At 53.0% G+C, this 18,850-nt stretch overlaps 1 protein-coding gene and 1 long non-coding RNA gene across 9 annotated transcripts in view, besides 3 other annotated features; one reads left to right on the top strand and one right to left on the bottom strand.

Moving 5' to 3' along the window:
• VSTM2B (V-set and transmembrane domain containing 2B) overlaps nt 1–18,850 on the bottom strand; it is a 39,134-nt gene that overhangs the window by 16,927 nt on the left and 3,357 nt on the right. For 6 of the 8 annotated variants that reach the window (XM_011526902.3, XM_011526903.3, NM_001384641.1 and 3 more), the window contains one exon: nt 17,335–17,806. In XM_011526902.3, coding sequence (XP_011525204.1) covers nt 17,335–17,806 — 472 coding nt within the window. Of the gene's footprint in view, nt 1–17,334; nt 17,807–18,084; nt 18,157–18,528; nt 18,726–18,850 lie in introns of those variants that run through there. The other 2 variants (XM_011526905.3, NM_001384643.1) reach the window with 2 other exon arrangements.
• Nucleotides 7,341–7,841: an enhancer, noted in NCBI's record as "H3K4me1 hESC enhancer chr19:30030691-30031191 (GRCh37/hg19 assembly coordinates)". NCBI's record gives its function as "activates a minimal SCP1, AML or CMV promoter by ChIP-STARR-seq in naive H9 embryonic stem cells {active_cell/tissue: H9 hESC(naive)}" and the evidence as "EXISTENCE:reporter gene assay evidence [ECO:0000049][PMID:30033119]".
• Nucleotides 7,842–8,342: an enhancer, noted in NCBI's record as "H3K4me1 hESC enhancer chr19:30030190-30030690 (GRCh37/hg19 assembly coordinates)". NCBI's record gives its function as "activates a minimal SCP1, AML or CMV promoter by ChIP-STARR-seq in naive H9 embryonic stem cells {active_cell/tissue: H9 hESC(naive)}" and the evidence as "EXISTENCE:reporter gene assay evidence [ECO:0000049][PMID:30033119]".
• Nucleotides 12,751–13,251: an enhancer, noted in NCBI's record as "H3K4me1 hESC enhancer chr19:30025281-30025781 (GRCh37/hg19 assembly coordinates)". NCBI's record gives its function as "activates a minimal SCP1, AML or CMV promoter by ChIP-STARR-seq in primed H9 embryonic stem cells {active_cell/tissue: H9 hESC(primed)}" and the evidence as "EXISTENCE:reporter gene assay evidence [ECO:0000049][PMID:30033119]".
• LOC124904683 (uncharacterized) overlaps nt 18,345–18,850 on the top strand; it is a 41,102-nt gene continuing 40,596 nt past the window's right edge. Inside the window, exon 1 of the long non-coding RNA XR_007067215.1 lies at nt 18,345–18,584. This is a non-coding gene — a long non-coding RNA (uncharacterized LOC124904683). The remainder of the gene's footprint in view (nt 18,585–18,850) is intronic.

Raw genomic sequence — 18,850 nt, 5'->3', positions numbered from 1 at the left:
AGGAAGCCCATGCGTCAGAGGGCTGGCCTAGGGCCTCCCTCTCTCCTCAGCCCCCAGCAAGCAGCCCCACCCAAAACCAGGACATGGCAATTGCCTGGTGTTGCAACTGATGACCTCTAGTCAAGAGCAGATGTCAGGGACCAGACCAGTCAAGCAGACAGAACCCAGCACCTTTAGGATAACAAGGCAAAGGTTGCCAGCACTTATTAGGGCCAGGTACTGCAGCAAGTATGTGACCTACGTTAAATTCAATCCTTGTAATGGCAGGAGTTACTTTTACTCCTATTTTATAGTTGGGGAAACTGAGGTCCAGGGAGATGAAGTGATTTGCCCCAGGCCTGGGGTTGCCAGATAAAAAACAGGACACTCCATTGAATCTGAATTGCAGAAAAACAATGGATACTTTTTAGTACAAGTATGTCCCAAATATTGCATGGAACATACTTACATTCATAAGATGTTACTGGTGGTTTATCTGAAATTCAAATTTAACGGGGGGTCCTATATTTTTATTTGCTAAATCTGGCAGCCCAACCAAGGCCACACTGAGATAAACAGCAGGGCTGGGACTTGCACCCAGGCAGTCTGGCCCCTGTGTACACCTAACCACTGCCACACACACCACCTCTCGGGCCCAAAGAGCTGGAACTCTCCTTCCCCATGAATGCCTCAGCCTGACCCTGGCCCCTGGCTACTTGCAAGGGAAGGAGAATGGGGGATGAGATTTTTCCCTGAATGTTAACATTCATGGTGGCTTTTTAATGTGGCCAACTTTGCCGCCACCTCCTCTCCAGTTTTCCATCTCTTTTGAGATAACATCTTGCCCCCAATGGCCCTTTAATGATGTCACTTAATGTGAATGGCAAACAGGCCTTTACTCTGTGGTCAGGCAGCTGCTGTCAGAGGGGGCCGCAGGCGGCCCGACTGCAGTGAGCACCGGGGTGGGGGTGGGGGCTCCCCAGCGGGGACGGCGAGGCTGCCTCCCTCAGTGTGGGGCCCATTCCTCACCTGAGGGGCCCCTGCCCCATCTGGATTGCTAACCTTTGAGCCTGTGGGCTGTAAAAAGGCACACAATTCTCAGTGCCAGCAGCTGCACTCGGCCCCTGCAAGAGAATTTTCCCCTTTATCTCTCTCAGCAGCCTTAGGAGGTAGAAACCACTTTCCCGTTCATAGGTGAGGCCCAGAGAGGTTGGGTGACTTGACTAAGGTCACACAGTGGGTAGGTGGTAGAAGGTTATCTCCAGTGACTCCTTGGTACCTATGAATGAGTCCAAGTTCCTTAGCCAGCTGGAAGCCCTTTCACCCAGTGGACAGTGCCGCCTTGCCTGTCTCCACACTCCTTTGAGTGTCTTGAGCTCCAGGTAAATGGGGCTCTTGCGCTGGGGGCTGCATGCACCCAGGCTCTCCTGAATTCAGGCCTTTGCTCAGTCTGTTCCCTTTGCTAGATTCCTTTCCTGTTCCTCTCTGGCTCTTTCAAGCTCACCCATCTTCTCTGGCCCATCTCAGAGGCCCCCACAAGTTGACTCCAATACAGCTCTGAATCTATCTACTTCCTGCCCCTGCCATTACCCCACACCCACCCTGCCCTGGCACTCCAACCCTCCCCCTCACTGCATCAGCTCTCACCTGGGCGGGGGCAGCAGCTCCTGACTGGCCTCCCTGCATCCACCAAGCCCCCGCAAGCCAGTCACTGATAGCCCAGCACTCTAACGTGGCTGCCCAGAGTGCCGTTTTTCTTTTCTTTTCTTTTCTTTCTTTTTTCAACTTTTATTTTAGAATCAGGGGGTACATGTGCAGGTTGGTTCTACCAAAAAGACACCTGCACCTGTATGTTCATCATAGCACTCATGACTCACAACAGCAAACACATGGAACCAACCCAGATGCCCATCAACGGTGGGCTGGATAAAGAAAATGTGATGCATACATACCATGGAATACTATGCAGCCATAAAAAAGAACCAAACCATGTCCTTTGCAGAAACAGAGTGCTCTTTTCTTCTCTTTTTTTGAGATGGAGTTTCACTCTTGTCGCCCAGGCTGGCGTGCAATGGCATGATTTTGGCTCACTGCAACCTCCACCTCCCAGGTTCAAGTCATTCTCCTGCCTCAGCCTCCTGAGTAGCTGGGGTTACAGGCATGTGCCAGCACGCCCAGCTAATTTTTGTATTTTTAGTAGAGATGGGGTTTCACCATGTTGGCCAGGCTGGTCTCAAACTCCTGACCTCAGGTGATCTAACCGCCTCGGCCTCCCAAAGTGCTGGGATTGCAGGTGTGAGCCACCGTGCCCGACCCAGAGTACTCTTTTCACATGCAAAGCACAATTTCCTCCTGCTCCCCAAGTTCCCAGGAGTCTCTGTCTCAGGCTGAAGACCTAACTCTTCTCGCCTGGCTACCTCTCTCCCCGCACCCCTGCCTGCCTCCCAGTGCCATCATGAATCCACCCTGCCGACCCCCGGAGACCTCCCATTCACTCATTTCCGTCCTCCTCAGACCATGGGTCTCCTTCAGACATTGGGCCCTCGCTGACCCAGTCTGGAGGCTCCCTTTGTCCTACAGGCTCCAAGGCAAGTTCCATTTCTTCGGGGCTGTATGTGGATGGCCGTAGTGTGTTACTGTCTGACCCCTGTCTTCTCTGCTAGCGGGTGTGCCTGAGAGAGTGGAGACCATGGCTGTCTCAGCTGCATATGTCCTCATTACCCAGCACGGTGCCGGAACCCTGACAGGCTCACAAAATGTTTGTTGAATGCATGAATGAAAGTCTTTCTTAGACATCCCAGCTGGTCTAACCATCCATAATGCACCAGACATGGGCCAGGTCCTTCAAAGGTGGCCTCGCATTTTTAACCTTCAGATACAAGCTGGGGCTGAGAGGCCTGTCTCGAGTTCCCTCTGGGGAGCCCAGGGCTGCAAGAGTGACCTTGACCTCACCTTCCAGCTTCCCAACACTGCCAGTACACATGTCTTTGTCTAACTTTTTCTCAAGATGATTTCACAAATTCACCTTCATTTTCCTTTTATTCCAATTTGCTCATTAAAAACTTTTCATTCTATTATGGCACATTCAGTTTTTTTTTTTTTTTTTTTTTTTTTTTTTTTGAGACAGAGTCTCGCTCTTTCGCCCAGGCTGGAGTGCAGTGGCGCGATCTCTGCTCACTGCAAGCTCCGCCTCCCGGGTTCACGCCATTCTCCTGCCTCAGCCTCCCAAGTAGCTGGGATTACAGGTGCCCGCCACCAAGCCCGGCTAATTTTTTATATTTTCAGTAGAGACGGGGTTTCACCGTGTTAGCCAGGATGGTCTCGATCTCCTGACCTCGTGATCCGCCTGCCTCGGCCTCCCAAAATGCTGGGATTACAGGCGTGAGCCACCGCGCCCGGCCGCACATTCAGTTTTATAAGCCACTTCAAATTCTTCCCTTAGAAGGCAGCATATATATGAAAACTATTTGTATATTTAATATAAAGTGCATAAATATATATTTAATATAATGTGCATATATATATATATAGGTATATATATACACACAGGAGAACTATATAAACTGCTTTTAAATCTTTTAAAGCAGTAGAACCCTATTTTCAACTAATGGCTTCATGGAACCCCAATATGTAAAACCATTAGAAGCAGAATGGCTCTGGTTGAAGTTGGGGTGGGGCTCCTGGGGTTCTAAGGAGCACAGTTTGGGAATCACTCACACTAGGCTCTCTAAGAGCCCCTTCCAGATCTGAAACTCTGGGACTTGGGAATGCTGGAGCACTGGTGTGCCCATTATGTAGATGGCAGAGCTGGGGGACCTGTCCATATTTTGAAAGAGAGGAGCCTGCCCCTCCTTGAAGTCTCCTATACTAGCCCTATTTAAACCCCAGTTGTCTGGGGGTACCTCACCTCCATGCTACAATCTTCCCAACCTTGGAGCCAGGGTGTACCTTGGATCTCCTGGGTCAGGCAAATAGTGGGTAGTCAATTAATGACTGCTCAAGGAAGGCTGCTCACTGTATGGGTCCAGGCTTCAGCTCCTTGTCCTGCACAGTGGAAATGGGCCTGGCCATGCAAGGGCAGGGATGGTGCAGCATGGCCTGAGGTCCGGGAGGAGGCTGTAGGTCCCTCCAGCCAGCACATGCAGGACCTAACAGCAGTCCTTTCCCATTACAATCCGCCTTTGGGTTCCACCTCAGTGACACCTGGATATTTCTTTCTGTTTCACAGTGAGGACTTTTCTTTAGAAACACAATTTAACCAAAAGGTTAACATATTTTAATTGCCCAGGGATAGTGCTCTGAAAATTCTATAACATGTGCTCATTAAATGAAATTAGCACAGAGGAGCTGCCTGGGATATGTCACACATTAAAATATGACTCTGTAGAATAGAATGCATTATGAATTATTGCCTGGTGTATTTTTGTTACATTAGTCTTTAATGTAAATAGAGTTATTTATCTGCCCACCTGGAGATGGGATTTCTTAAATGCCTGAAAAAACATATCTACATTAATTTGTACGTGGACAAGAATCAGCAAATCTGGGCCAGGCTGCATCCACCAGAGTACCCAGTGCCCAGCAGAGGGAGGAGGTCCGCTGCTCCTGTCCCTAAAGGCTGAGGGATTAGGGGAGTCGGAAGCAGGCTGGGATTGGCTGTGTCCACTCACTCTGCCCTTCCCCTCTGTCTAGGTTCAGTGGCCTAGGGACTGCAGGCAGAAGCATGGAATGGCATGGAATTCTGGGACCTACCACCACTTGGAGACTTTTTTCCTATGGCCTCCTTCCTGGAAGACATGAGTGTGCAGTATTCAGTTGCTGGAAACTCCAACCTTAGGCATGCCTGCAATCCCAATCCCACCCATCCTGCAAGCCTCAACTTGTATCCCAAATCTACCCATCTTTCCATCCATGTTTTACCTACTTACCCATTTCTCCTACTTTCTACTCTCCATTCACCCATCCACCCACTTATATCTTCTTTCCACCTATGCGTCAGCTATTTATTTTTCCACTCATTCCCAATCTACTCATCCATCAATCCATCCATCCATCCATTCATTCTCCCATCCATTCACCCATCTATCCATCCACTCATCATCCCTCCACCCACCCATTCATTCTCCCATCCATCTACCTATCTACCCATCCACTCATCTTCCTTCTACTCACCCATTCATTCTCCCAACCATCAACCCATCTACCCATCTACGCATCATTCTTCTATCCATCCATTCATTCTCCCATCCATCCACCCATTCACACATTGATTCACCCTTCTTCTTACCCACCCATTCGTTCTCCCATCCATCCACCCACTCACACATTAATTCATCCTTCTTCTTACCCACCTATTCATTCTCTCATCAATCCACCCATCTACCCATCCACTCATCATCCTTGTATCTATGCATTCATTCTCCCATCCATTCACCCATCTACCCATCTACTTATCATTCTTCTACCCATCCACTCATTCTCCAGTCCATCCACCCATCTACCCATCTATTTATAATCCTTCTGCCCACCCATTCATTCTCCCATCCATTCACCCATCTACCATCTACTCATCATCCTTCTACCCATCCATTCGTTCTCCCATCCACTCACCCATCTACCATCTACTCACCATCCTTCTACCTACCCATTCATTCTCCCATCCATCAACCCATCTACCCATCCACTCATCATCCTTGAATCCATCCATTCATTCTCCCATCCACCCACCCATCTACCCGTCCACTCGTCATCCTTGTATCCATTCATTCATTCTCCCATCTGCCCACCCATCTACCCATCCACTCATTCTCCTTCTACCCATCCATTCATTCTCCCACTCATTCACCCATTCATTTATCCTTCCTTCCACCCATCCAATAATTCTCCCACCATCCACCCATCTACCTATTCACTCATCCTTCCTTCTACCCATCCACCCAACTACCCATCAACTTATCATCCTTCTACCCACCCATTTATTCTCCCTTCTATGTACCCATCTACCCATCCACTCATTTTCTGTCCACCCATCCATTTATTATCCCATCCATTTATTATTCCATCCATTCATTATCCCATCCATTCATCCTTCCTTCCACCCATCTATTAATTCTCCAATTCATCCACTCATCCACTCATTCTTCCTTCTCCCCATCCATTCATTCTTCCATCATCCACCCATCTATTCATTCTTCCTCCCATTCATCCCCCATCCATTCACACATCCTTCCCTTCACTCACCCACCAGCTACTTGTTTTTATCACCCCATTCAGACATCCATCAACCCATCCATCCAATGATTCCAAGCCCCATCATCTCTTGACTGGATCACTGCCTCCTAAGTGGTCTTCCCCATCTATCAAATTCATCCCACCTCTCCAATCTCCACATTGCAACCAGAGTGACCATTTCTGAAGGCATCATGCCCTAGCCACTCAAACCCCATCCCACTGCTCTTAGGATAAAGTCAAAGCTTCCTGATCTCTTCAAAAGGCCTTACAGTTTGACCCTGTTTGACCAGTAAACTCTAACCTTGACTTAATTTCCCCTTTGCTTCCCCATCTTGCTTTCTCTGCACCCACCACAGTAAGCTTCTGTGAGGCCTTTGCATTTCCCCAGATCCCTCTTGCCGCAGGACCTTTGCACATGTGAGTCCCTCTTCCTGGAAAGCTCTACCTTCTTTCTTTACCTGGCCAACTCTTAACTGTCTTCCTGATTATGGCTCAAATGTCACTTTCTTGGTGACCCTTCCCTGACTGGGTCAAATCTCCCTATTTTAGCTCCCATAGCCCATGGGCCTCTCCTTTAGAGTACCAGCCATGGCTGCTAATTTCCACTTGCTATGTGACTATTTGATCAATATCTGTCTCTTCCTCTGTCACTTTCTCAGGACCTCATTAGTCTTAATCACATTATGCCCTCAGTGACTAGAAAAGTTCCTGCACATAAAAAAATGCTCCATGGACATTTGCTGGATGAATGATTGAATGAATGAATGAACTAGTACCAAGTCCAATGAATATAGGACAGTGGGGAAACAGCAGTGAGAATGAACCAGGCCTGCTGTCTGTGGGCATCAGTCTGGATGGGGCACTCAGCCAGGTGTTGACTGCAGGACAGGGAAAGAACTGCTGGGAGCCCTGAGGCAGCAGCAAGGCACATCTAGGTGCTCAGAATGAAAGAAACTCCTTTGGCTGCAGGATCAGGAAGTCTTCTCCCAACTACCAGCCCACCCTGGCCCCACCTTTCTGAGTTCTTCCCAACTACTAGTCCATCCTGGTAGCCCACCATTTCTGAGCCCCTCTTGTGCCTGAGCTGAGCCCTGGGTTCATCCTCCTGCATGGCCACCATAACTAGACCATGAGCTCCTACCTGGGGCAGGGGCTAGGTCTGCCTGATGCTCTGGGTAGCTCCCTGCCCCTTGGCCTGGGCCAGACCAGATACAGCAGACCAGGAATCCCCACCCCCCACTCGGACTGAGCCTGATGTGATGTCAGCTCCCCCTTCCATGGGTTTATTAAAGATCTTTCCTCTGGGCCAAGCGGCATTTGTATGAGAATCAATTGTAATAAAAGTCACTCTAAGGGGACTGACATTGCAGCTGGGCTTTCCTGCCTTAAAGAAAACCATGCCTTCCTCCCTGAGGGCAGCTGATGGACAGCAGGCCAGGGTCAGCAGAGGGAAGGCTCTCTGTCTCTAGAGCTATACGATTACAGGTGGGTGGGCCTCCAGCAGGAGTCTGCAGTGGGCTGTCTGTGCTGGGAGGGAGGCAGGCTCACATGGGCGTGAGGGGTGGAGACAGGCAGGAGGGGCCCTGGCTTCCTGGCCTGGCCGGCAGCCTGCTTACACTCCCAGCACATCCCAGAGGTGGTATCTCTGTCCTGCATTCTTCTCACTAGCCTCGGTGCCAAGTGGCACCTTTATTAGCAATCTCTGGGCACAGTGAGCCACGGAAAGGGAAGCTGGGGTGGATGCGAACATGAAAAGCAAAATGCAGGAACGCAAGTGGAAGAACCAGCACATGTCCTGAGCCTGTAACGGTGGCGTGAGTCCCCAAAAGGCCCATCCCTGTGGGGCACTCCCTGACATAGGTGGCTCTCACTCTCTCTCTCACTCTATCTCTGTAAAGGCCCCAGTGATGGGGACTTCGGGCACCTCCTCTCAGTCTAGACCTACCCCAGGAGGCTCTCTGGCTATATGACATGGTGAGAGAGCTTTCTACCTTCTCCCCACTTCTCCCCTGGAGACACAGCTGTCCAGTGCTGCAAACACCAGCCTCTCCTCTGAGCTTCTCCTTGCCACCCGAAAGGCCCTACCCCCTCACATCACAGTGCCCGCGCCACTGGCAGCAGCCTATATGACAAAGAAGCACGACCAGGCATGACATGGAGCAGCTTTCCCCAGGAGCCCTGTTAGCACAGCCAGGACTCGGCACGTGGGCAAACCTGGGGGTTTAATTTGCTGATGGACCACACGAAACCATGATGAAGCTGTCCTTGTTCACCAAGGAGCTCGTGACTTATGGCAAACAGCCCCAACCAGACTAGTATGGGGATGTGGCACCATCCCCATCTTTCTACCTTCCCCCCTTGAAATGGTGCAGCCAGAGAACTTACAAAAACAGCAACTCTCCGAGCCATTTGCAATCTGATGGCCCTTTCTGTTTCTGAGCTCCATCAGCCCCATCACTGAGATGGTTTGGATGTTCATCCCCTCCAACCTTATGTTGAAATGTGATCCCCAGTGTTGGAGGTGGGTCCCGGTGGGAGGTAACTGGGTCATGGGAGTGGATCCCCCACGAATGGCCTGGTGCCCTCCTCATGGTAATGAGGTAATGGGTGAGTTCCTACTCTGTTACTTCACATGACAGCTGGTTGTTTAAAGAGCCTGGCACATCCTCCCTCTCTCTCTTGCTTCCTCTCTCACCATGTGACATGTCTACTCCCCTGCCTTGAGTTAAAGCTCCTTGAAGCCTCACCAGAAGCCAAGTAGATGCTGGTGCCTTGCTTGCACAGCCTGCAGAACTGTGAGCCAAATAAACCTCTTTTCTCTATAAATGACCAGACTCAGGTATTCCCTGATAGCAATGCAAAATGGATGAATACAATCACAATTAGCTCCATCATGCTCACAGCATTTGCAGGAGGGAGGGCGGTCTCATGAAGGAAGTCTCAGATCGGAGCACCCTGTCCAGCTTAGTAAGCGATCCTGGATGGTTAACACCATTCCCGTGAATAACGCTGGTTACCAAAGCCAACATCCACTGAGTGTATTCTAGGTGCCAGGCCCTGTGTTAAGCTAACATCTTTCCACGGATTATCCCCCCGGATCCTGCCAACCACTCTCTGGCATAGGAATCGGTGTCGTGCTGATGATAACAGATGACGGAACTCGTACAGAGAGAGTGGGAAGTGATGGACTCAAGATTCCAATCAAATGGTTGGATGTATCCGGAAAACAAGCATAATACTTAGGGTATGAAGGGCAGGAGTGAGAAGCACATGCTGTGACTTTTGCAGGGCCAGAGCCCTGTAAAGGCCCAGAAAGGGGGCAAATTTGTTGGCATTGAAATCCTGGCTTACCTGTGAGCCAGCATGCTGAACAGTGAGGAACATTTGAAATGTCAGGAGAGAATGCGATGGTTGGAAGTGGTGGTGAGTGTAACTTCCTCCGGAACTATGTTCAGTGTCCCTCGGGTGATGCTTTGGTTCTCCCACCAGCATGGGCAGCTGTGGGGAGGACTGATCTGCCTAGGTAATTTTCCTGGCCTCGGTCTCTAGCGGGCATTGGGTGCTCAACTGGGACTTTTAGGGGGTGCTCTGTCCCTCTCAGTGGCCCTTCTGGCAAGCTGGTTACTTCTGAGCTGCATGGAGCAGGGCCCATGGGTGCGGGAGAGTAGGTGGGTGCGGGAGAGTAGGTGGGTGCGGGAGAGTAGGTGGGTGTGGGGGCGGGTGGTTGTGGGGAAAAGCTTCCGAAATGTCCACTTTGGCTCCTTATTTCATGCCAACGCCAGGACCCCTCAACGTTCCTCTTGAACTGCAAGAACCAGAGCCAACTGAAGCCTGTCCAAAGTAGCTTTGATATTTTAGCCCAGAGAGCAGTAACGACAGAACAGAACAACCAATAACTTCCAGAAACAGGATTGCTGGCAGGGACAGGCTTTGCACAAGGTCTGTCTCTCAAGGGCCGTCCTGTGGAGGATGCAGGCAGGAGAAGGGGCCTGGGCTATGCTCATACTTTGCGGTCACCGAGGGTGCTGCTGTCTGCAAGCAGCCCCCGCAGCCACCTCCACCGCTGGCTGTTTAACAGCAGCTACACCCTAACCCACAGGAGGCCAGACTGGATCCTCCATCTTGGTATTTATAGCACATCTTCCCTGAGAGCACCAAAGCCACTGACAAGCAGGCTAATTTCCCTAGAAGCACGACCCCAGGGAAGGAGGTGTGTCATTCTTCATCAGGAATAGTCAGGAATCAAGAGTTACAGGGGCTGAGCCTGCTGACTTCCCATCTCAAACTTCCCTGCAGCCCTTATGTAAGGCAAAGTGAAGCCTTCTCACCACTCTGGATACAAGTTTACAAGAGATGCCTGGTGATAGTCAGCTAAGCATGGGGGAATAAAAAAGATAATGCTTTTATTTTTCTCCTGTGCTGCAAAAATGTCTTAAAACCATGCTGGCATCTTCCAGAAAGCTCAGGGGTTTAGACCACAGCCAAGGCCTTGCTCTGTCCACACAGAGCAGAACTAATCAATATCATATTACAAAAGCACTTGACCTCATTTATCCCCACGGATGCTTGGGGAATCCTTAATATTCAGAGCTTTAAGGATATGCACCTGGCGTGTTTAATGAGCAGCTCCTTGTTGGGGGGTTAGTTCCCGGTGACATTTAACAAGGCTGGCTTCCAGCTCTTTTCTTGGGGGCTACCACTCCAGCTGGGCAGAGAGTGTGGGCTCTGGCTATAAGCACAGAGAGAGCGCTCTGTCTTCTGGGGGACGGACTGAAGCAGGAGGCATTAGGGAGAACTGTGGGAAGGAGGAAAGCCGGTGAGAGGAGAGCGTGGCACACAGTAAGTGCTCAGTAAAAGGCAAATGTTATTATTTATCATTATTATAATCCAAGAGCAGCTGTTTTTATCCTGAATTTAGGGTCTTGCTGATGCTGAGAGGATGGTTGCCCAGTGAGCTGACTGATACACAAAGGCCATTCCATTTGGTGTGGACTTCTCCAACCTTGGGAAGGAGAGAGGGGGCATCTGAAAGCTTTCCAAGGTCTGACCTAATTGGGAGGACTTCAGCCTCAGGTGCTTCTTTCAAGCTGTAAGTCACACACCACCTACAGGAAGCCTCTCCTGATTGCCTCAGCTGGATTAGTGCTGGCACAGCACAGACTGCTTTGTCCTGGAATTACCTGGGTGCCCTGGCTCCTTTAAGTTTGGGTCCACACTGCCATCTCTGGTTCCCCCTTATGGCAAGCGTGGGGCTGGGCCCAGAAGGCTCCCAGTGACTGGCTGCTGGGGGAGAGGATGCCATGTCGCTGATAATGGCGTAAGATTGCTGCTGTTAGGGATGAAGCAGGCATTGCTTGCCAGCTGTGAGGCTCAGCCATTTCCTTTATGAAATCCTTTAATTTTCTTTTTCAGGATGCTCAGAGAGCCTCGCCCTCTCTTCTCTGGGACATCCCTTGCCAGATTTGTTTTCTTCTTAATTATAATTCTCATGTCACATCGGAACTTGGGGGAAGAGTGGATTGTTCATTTAAGGTGAGGGCCTTTGGGTCCTCGTGGGTCCGGGGAGATGGGAAAACCAGGTGGCTGCCTCAATGGCTTGCTCAGGGCCCACAGGTCCTGGGCCTGCTGGTACTGCTGGTGACTCTGCTGCATCGCGATTCTCCTGGGTCACGTGTGTGCCATTCCTTCAGCTCTATCACCACCGGGGCATGGGTCGAGATGTAGTGACTGTCTCCACCTTGCCCACGGCCCCCTTTGGTCACGGTTTACGGTTGCCATGGCGACATCCGCGGATGCTCCCCTTTGACGGCTCCCAGCAGCCACAGCCTCTCTACAGCCATCATACCCATGGCCTTGGCTGTCTTTCTCTCATTATTAATTGAAATATTGAGAGCCAGTTCTCCGTGTGGGCACCCAGCAGCAGCTTGCCACATCCAGCCGGCTCTCTGTGGGGGCCATGGTGCCTTTCCTTGGAGCCAGAGCCCTGAGGCTAATTAGAGGTTCACACGCCACTGCTCTGATCCCAACGTCCCTGCAGAGGGGAACCTCTGGCCAACACACCAGCCATTCAGTTGCAAACTGGATTCTTTTGAGGCCGCGCTAGACTTTACTGCGGTGCCTTTTCCATTTAGAAGTGTTAGTCTGGAAGATACTCTGCTTGGTCTCTCTCTCTCTTTTCTAGAAATGGCAACCAGCAACAAAGTGTTCACGAAAAATGGGTCAGCATTCAGATTAATTAGGAGCCAGATTTATGAACACAGCTAAGACGGGGCCCAGCCTCCTGCGCCTGCTCTGCTCTGCTAATGCAGTCCATGTTTATTTTTAAGCACAAATACCAAAATGTCTCTTGACAAATGAGACGTGAAATGAATGAGTTTTTGCACATCAACTTTTAGTGCAAATATGTATTTGGGTGTATTAGGTACACATGTGGCATGGGAAGGGCTTTCTTGCCTGGCTGTGCGGTAGCTAATGGATGAGGGCTGGAGGAAGTCCCCCCTCTCTCCTTCGTGGCATTACCAAAGTGGCTCACTTAAAAAATAGGGACTTTTTTTCTGACTTCCTTCCAGGAACGATCGCTTAATGGGGGACTATTTGGGGAGATGTACTGGGACCGCCCCTGCTGTTGCCAATCTGAAATGGCCAGTGTCCTGAGCCTCTTTCTTTTCTTTTCTTTCTTTCTTTCTTTTTTTTTTTTTGAGACAGAGTTTCAGTCTTGTTGCCCACGCTGGAGTGCAATGGCGCGATCTCGGCTCACTTCAAACTCCGCCTCCCAGGTTCAAGTTATTATCCTGCCTCAGCCTCCCAAGTATCTGGGATTACAGGTGCCTGCCACCACACCCAGCTAATTTTTTGTGTTTTTAGTAGAGACAGGATCTCATCATGTTGGCCAGGCTGGTCTCAAACTTCCGTCCTCAGGTGATCCACCCGCCTCGGCCTTCCAAAGTGCTGTGATTACAGGCGTGAGCCACTGTGCCTGGCCATGAGCCTCTTCAGTGCCCCCAGGTCCTCAGCCCACCCTTCTCCACTCTGCTGTGAGCCCCTGAGGGCTGACCTCTACAGCCTGCACCACCTGGGTGCCCCTGCCTTCAGGTTCCAGGAGGGTTTGGCCAAAGGGAGGCCCAGACAGGGAATGGAGGGCAGGAGGAGTGAGATCCTTGCTGGGTGACTGTGGGTTGGCTGTGTGCCTCCCCTCCTACTCTCTGGGTGCTACCAGCTGCCCCCAGACCTTTAGGCTAGGTCTGCTGATGGCTCCCACTGATGCCAGCCCCGGGGACCTGCATCAATCCTTTGTTGGCTGCCCTAACCCTGTCCACACCTTGGTACATACGCTCTTTCCATCCCCCCCAGTGACCCTGTTTGAATGTTCCATGTGCCTCTGCCAGCACCCTGGTTGATATCCTCTGCAAACACTCTTGACTATTAACCAAGAGGCAGCGGTCCTTTCTGGACCCCTCCCCATCAAGCTGCCTAGAATTGAGTGGCTGGGAGGCAAGGCCCAAGGTCGTCTGCCCCGAGCTCCCTCTGCAGCTCAGGCTGCTGTGGTTCCGAGCAAAGCAGCTGGCTTGCTGCCTCTCAGGGCGCTCAGCAGTACCTGGTGCCAGCAGCTGAGCTCGGGGCACTGGCTGGTGATGCAGCCCTACAGAAAGGTTACTAATGCCCATCCTCCAAAACACAGTCTGCAGGCTTCACATTGACAGCACACAGCCTGGGTGGCCTTGGGTGACCGGGGTGAGGTGGGACACAAGACTGAGCATGGTTCCCTCCTTGGCATCAAGGCTGTTCGGATGTGTTTGTGAATGACAGGTCTGCCATCCATTTTCCGTGCCCAGAGTGGGACATAGAGTGCCTGGAGCAGAACCACTCTCAAGAGAGCTTCACCTGGAGAGTGAGGGACACAGGTTTTCTGACCTCCCAGCTGAAGGCCCACCTTCTGGGCACCCCAAAGGAGACTTGGAGAGAGACTGGAGGTTCTTTCTGAGATGTGTCTACACAGTTCCTGGCCAGTTCAGGAGCTGGCAAGGGTTAGGGGGTGACAGAGACCTCAGAGGCCACTGTACTTCTATCCCAGGGGTGCTGCTGTCAGCCCCGCTGGGATCCAGGCAAGCTGTGCTTTCTAGATGGCAGTGGACATCAGCCCCTCCAGGGAAGGCAGAGTGACCCACATGGGCATTAACATATGGCCCCGTGGCTGGTGGGTGCCCAAGGTCCTATCTGCTGGGATGGCACTGGGCACTGTGCCATCAGCATTGAGTTGACCTGAGGACCTCCATATCTTCTGGGAAGAAGGGCACTGACTGGCCCACCTTCCCTGGATGAGATGTCCTGGAGCATCTTCACTCTCTCATTCAGCCTCCATGGCCAGCACCGAGACTGGAGATCAGACTGGCTATGGCAGGCAGTCAGGTCATCTGTGGCTGGGCCTGGGACTCAGGCTGAAGGCCAAGGGAAGAGGGAGATTCAAGCAGGAGTGCGCTCATGACCTTGGTCTCATTATCATTTTGTGAGCACAACCAAGTCCACTCTCAAAGATCTATTTCACATGGTCTTGACCGGTCTTTAACCAACTGCTGGTTCCACTTGGCATTCAAGGCCCTCCATAGCCTGGCTTCCAACTGCCAACCTTTTAGCTTTATCTGCCCATCCTCTCCTCTCCAGCTAGTGCAGCTAATGACCAGGGTGATAATAATGAACATATATGTGCAGCAATTTCCATACCAAGCTCCCTCTGAGGTCAGAGAGATTATCCTGTTCATTTTACAGATGACTCAGAGATGGTAAGTCACTTGCCTAAAATCACACAGCCAGTAAGTGGTGGAAGCACAACCTACATCGGAACTTCTGCCTTTCAAATCCTCCAGGAATATCCTAGAGGTACGTCCCAGCCTGTAATGCACACATTTCCTTGCTGGGGCCCAAGGGGAGGGGGAAGAAGGATGTTCTCTTCACCAACAAGCATCAGTTAAGCCAATGGCTCTGTAAGTCAATAGGAACTCTCCCTGAGCACTGCCTGTATGCTGAACAGAGATGGCTAACTCCTCGAAGAGTCACGCTCCCCTTGCACTGTGAAGAGATGAGGCCCGAAAGCAGCCGCCACACCAAGGACTACATTTCCCAGCGGGCCCTACATCCATGTTGGACCATGTGACTGAGTTCTGGCCGATGGAAGAGGGTAGAAGTAATATTTACCACTTCTAGACCTAGCCCTTAAAAAACGCCTTGCCATTTTTCTAAACCAGCTTTTCTCTGAGAGAGTTAAGCGCTGCCAGAAAGATTTGAGTGGCTGTTTTCTCAGTCTCCCAAGAATGATACATACTTAGGGCCGTCCTAAATGCATATGAAACAAGTTGATTCATCATACACAATGCATGCCTGAGAGTATTAGGGCTTAATTCTCTTAGGGCAGTGAGCTGACAAGGGCTGCTTCTGTCTCTCCTCACTGGTCTGCTGGCTCTATGTCATGCCCAGAGTGACTTTGGAAGCCTCCTGCTGAGGCTGGTACTCTCAGCCTGGGTCCCTGGATGACTGCATGGAACAGAGCCGCCACATGCCCTGGGGCACTCCAGGGCAGGACTTGATATGAACGAGGAATATTAAATTTGAATTGTGTCAAGCCACTGGCCTTTTGGGGTTTATTTGTCACAGCACCTAGTGATATCTTAGTGCAGAGGGTGGAAAGTTCCCAGCTGGGCTGTGGAGGCTCTTTGCAGGTCCCTACCTTCCCCAGTAGCCTGAGGGACAGTCTTGTGGGCTCCTGTGTGGCATCCAAGACGGATGAGGCCTTCGGATCAAGCCAATAGCCTGAGACGCACTGAGGCGGCTGCTACAGTGGGTAGAGCTAAATGAGAGACAGAACTGAACTGATGTGCCAGGCAGACTGCAGGCTCAACTGTCGGAGGGCTTGAGAGTTAGCCAGGGAGGCAGGATGAGATGGTGACACTAAGGACATGAAGACCTGCCCCAGCGGATTCTGCAGGTAGTCCAGGAGCCTGCAGGAAGACCACCCTTTGAGAACTACCACTGTAGGGGTGTGACAATGTGCTCCATCACATCTAGGAAGTTTCACATGCACCTGTACCCAAAGCCAGGCTCCCAGGGCCATGTGGCCAGGAGAGATGCTCCCTGTGGGACTCTGCATCAAACAAGACTGAGGAGAGGGGCCAAGGGAGGGAGCAACCTGCTCACAGTCAGGCACTGGGGTGGGCTCTGAGGCCCAGCTTGGAGCAGGGGGAGAGAGTGGGGGATGCCTTGGGAGGAGGGGCACACTGGGCAAGCCTTTCTACCCTCCATAACCGCCCCCCACCGCCCCCACCCCTGCCTCTGCCAATGGCTCCTACCGCCCCAGAGCTGCCTACCAGGGGGTAGTCAAGCCATCATTTTCTCCTCCTTCTGCCTTCTCACATCCCGCCCCCCATCCCCAATCCCTTCTCCCAGCCTCTCAGCTCCCTAAGAAAGCAAGCCTTCCCCTCTGGGTGCCTTCCTAACAGTGGCTTAGGGCTCAGTCCTTACTGCCCCCACCCCAAAGCCAAAGGGAGAGGATCTGCGATTTACAGCAGAGTGCAGAGCTGCTGCCTAGGGCCATCCTGCATTTAGCCAAAGAGGGCGTAGGTTACACAGCCAGGCCCCTCCACACCCTTGGACAAAGTCTGTTCAATCGAGCACACAAAATAGAAACCAACGCAACTCAAGTTTTAACCGCCTCCCGCTCTCCAGCAGGTGCCAGTGCCCCCATCTGGGGATAGCTCATTTCCACCACCGGTGGTGGCTGAGTACTGGCCCCTTGCCACCATCGGAGCTCAGCCCTCAGGGTCCAGTTCTCCAAACCCAAAAGAGGTCGCCTCCCCACACTACAGCCTCCAGCGTACCCTGAGGTAGCTGGCAGGGCAGCCCCCTCCTCCATTCATAAATGCACATCAGAAATGCTTCCAGAGGCCAGGAGTAAAGACAGAGAAACCGCGGGAAGAAGGCCCTGGGGGGGGCGCTCCCGACCTAACTAGGAAGGAGTATGCATATGCAAATGCGCCCAGGGGGCGGGTCCTGGGTCCGGAGCCCCCCGGGGCGTCCCGGCGCAGCCCTAGCCCTGCGCCATCCCCGCGCGTGCGCCCCCTCTCCGCGATCCCTTACCCGAGCCGTGCCTCTGGCGCAGCAGGACCGCCTGTCCCGATGGCGGCGACGCTGACGAGGCAGCAGCAGCTGCCGCGACTGTGGTGGTGGGCGTGTGGGCCGCCGAGGCTGCCGCGGCCTCGGGGACTGCGGGATCGATGGCGGCGGGAGGGCTCCCGGGCGGCGGGCTCTTGTCGCCGCGGCCGGGCTCGGAGGTGGTACGGCTCGCGGCGCCCGCGTTGTTGGCGTTGGCGGCGCTGGCTGGGCCGTGGCGACGCGGGCCGCTGCTCTGGATGTGGGACACGGCCTCGGCGGCCTGCATGTTGGGCGGCGCGAAGCGCGAGAGCACGCGCAGCATCGCCTGGGCCTTGTGCTCCTGCGTGTCGTCGTCGCTGTAGTCCGACACGCGGCACTCGTACACGCCCTCGTCCTGCAGCCGCACGGCAGACAGCCGAAGCCGGTGTGAGATGTCATTGCCCTGGACGCGTACGGTCTGCAAGAGAGCAGGGTTAGAGGCCGGGCTGGGCAGCTCCCAAACCTACTCTTCTGGCCACCCTGGCCGTCGCGCCCCCTCATCCGCGCACCCCAACACTTCCCGGATCCTGGTTTGCCCACCATCACGATCCGGCTTCCCTTTCACCCGCGTCTACCCAGTGGCATAGGGCTTCCAACTCTGCGTGGACGCCAGGCAGCCAGCTCTTTGGACTGTGTCCCCACGTCCCCATCACGTTAACCAAACGCCCACCTTGCATCTGCCCCGCCCATACAAACCAACACTGCTTGTCTTCCCGTAGCTGGCGCTTCAGAAGGGCAGAGTCCACCTCTCCTTCCTCCCTCCTGCACCTTCAGGAAACCCCAGGCTGGATTCCTTGTTCCTTAACTTCCCCACGTCTTTCCCGCCCCGACGCGCTCCAACCGACAGTCCCGCCCCAGCCGGCCCTCCTCACCTCCCGGAGCACGGAGGGCCTGCCCGAATCGCTTCCTAAGGAAAGCCACCCTGTCACCGGACCCCGCCCTTTACAGCTAACACTGTGCTTTCTTAAGAAGGCAAGCAACGCTGAGGCTGCTGCCTGGCTCCCTGGCCACCTGCTACCAACCCGCCTTTCCGCGGGATCTCCAGAAGCCCCCCAGCGAAGTGCTCCTCCCCTGCGCCCCGGTGGGGACTTCGGGAAGTACTGCTCTACGGCTCTCAACAAACACCCAGGGAGCCCTCACCTCTGAACCGAGCCCACGAGGAGGCTTCGTCATCTCCAGGCCTTTCTACGCTCCAGGTGGGAAGCTTGGGCGCATCTCCTCCCAGAGTTAGCAACCCCATGACCCGGGCCCCTCGCAGCCTGGCACAACCACCCCCTACCCCGTCCCCTGCAAGCCTGCAACACCCCGCACCCAGACCCGCAATCCAGGCGGAGGATAAAGGGTTGCAGCGGAGGGCGCAGAGCAGATGCTCAGGGCGGGGCAGAGGGGGCGGGAAGCTGGCGCCACGGTCGCGGCGAGGGCGAGCAGCCGCGCGCTCCCGGTGCTAGGAGGAATGCCCGCA

Source organism: Homo sapiens, chromosome 19 (genome assembly GCF_000001405.40).
Source record: "Homo sapiens chromosome 19, GRCh38.p14 Primary Assembly".
Lineage (NCBI taxonomy): Eukaryota > Metazoa > Chordata > Mammalia > Primates > Hominidae > Homo > Homo sapiens.
This window is presented reverse-complemented; position numbering and strand designations above follow the sequence as displayed.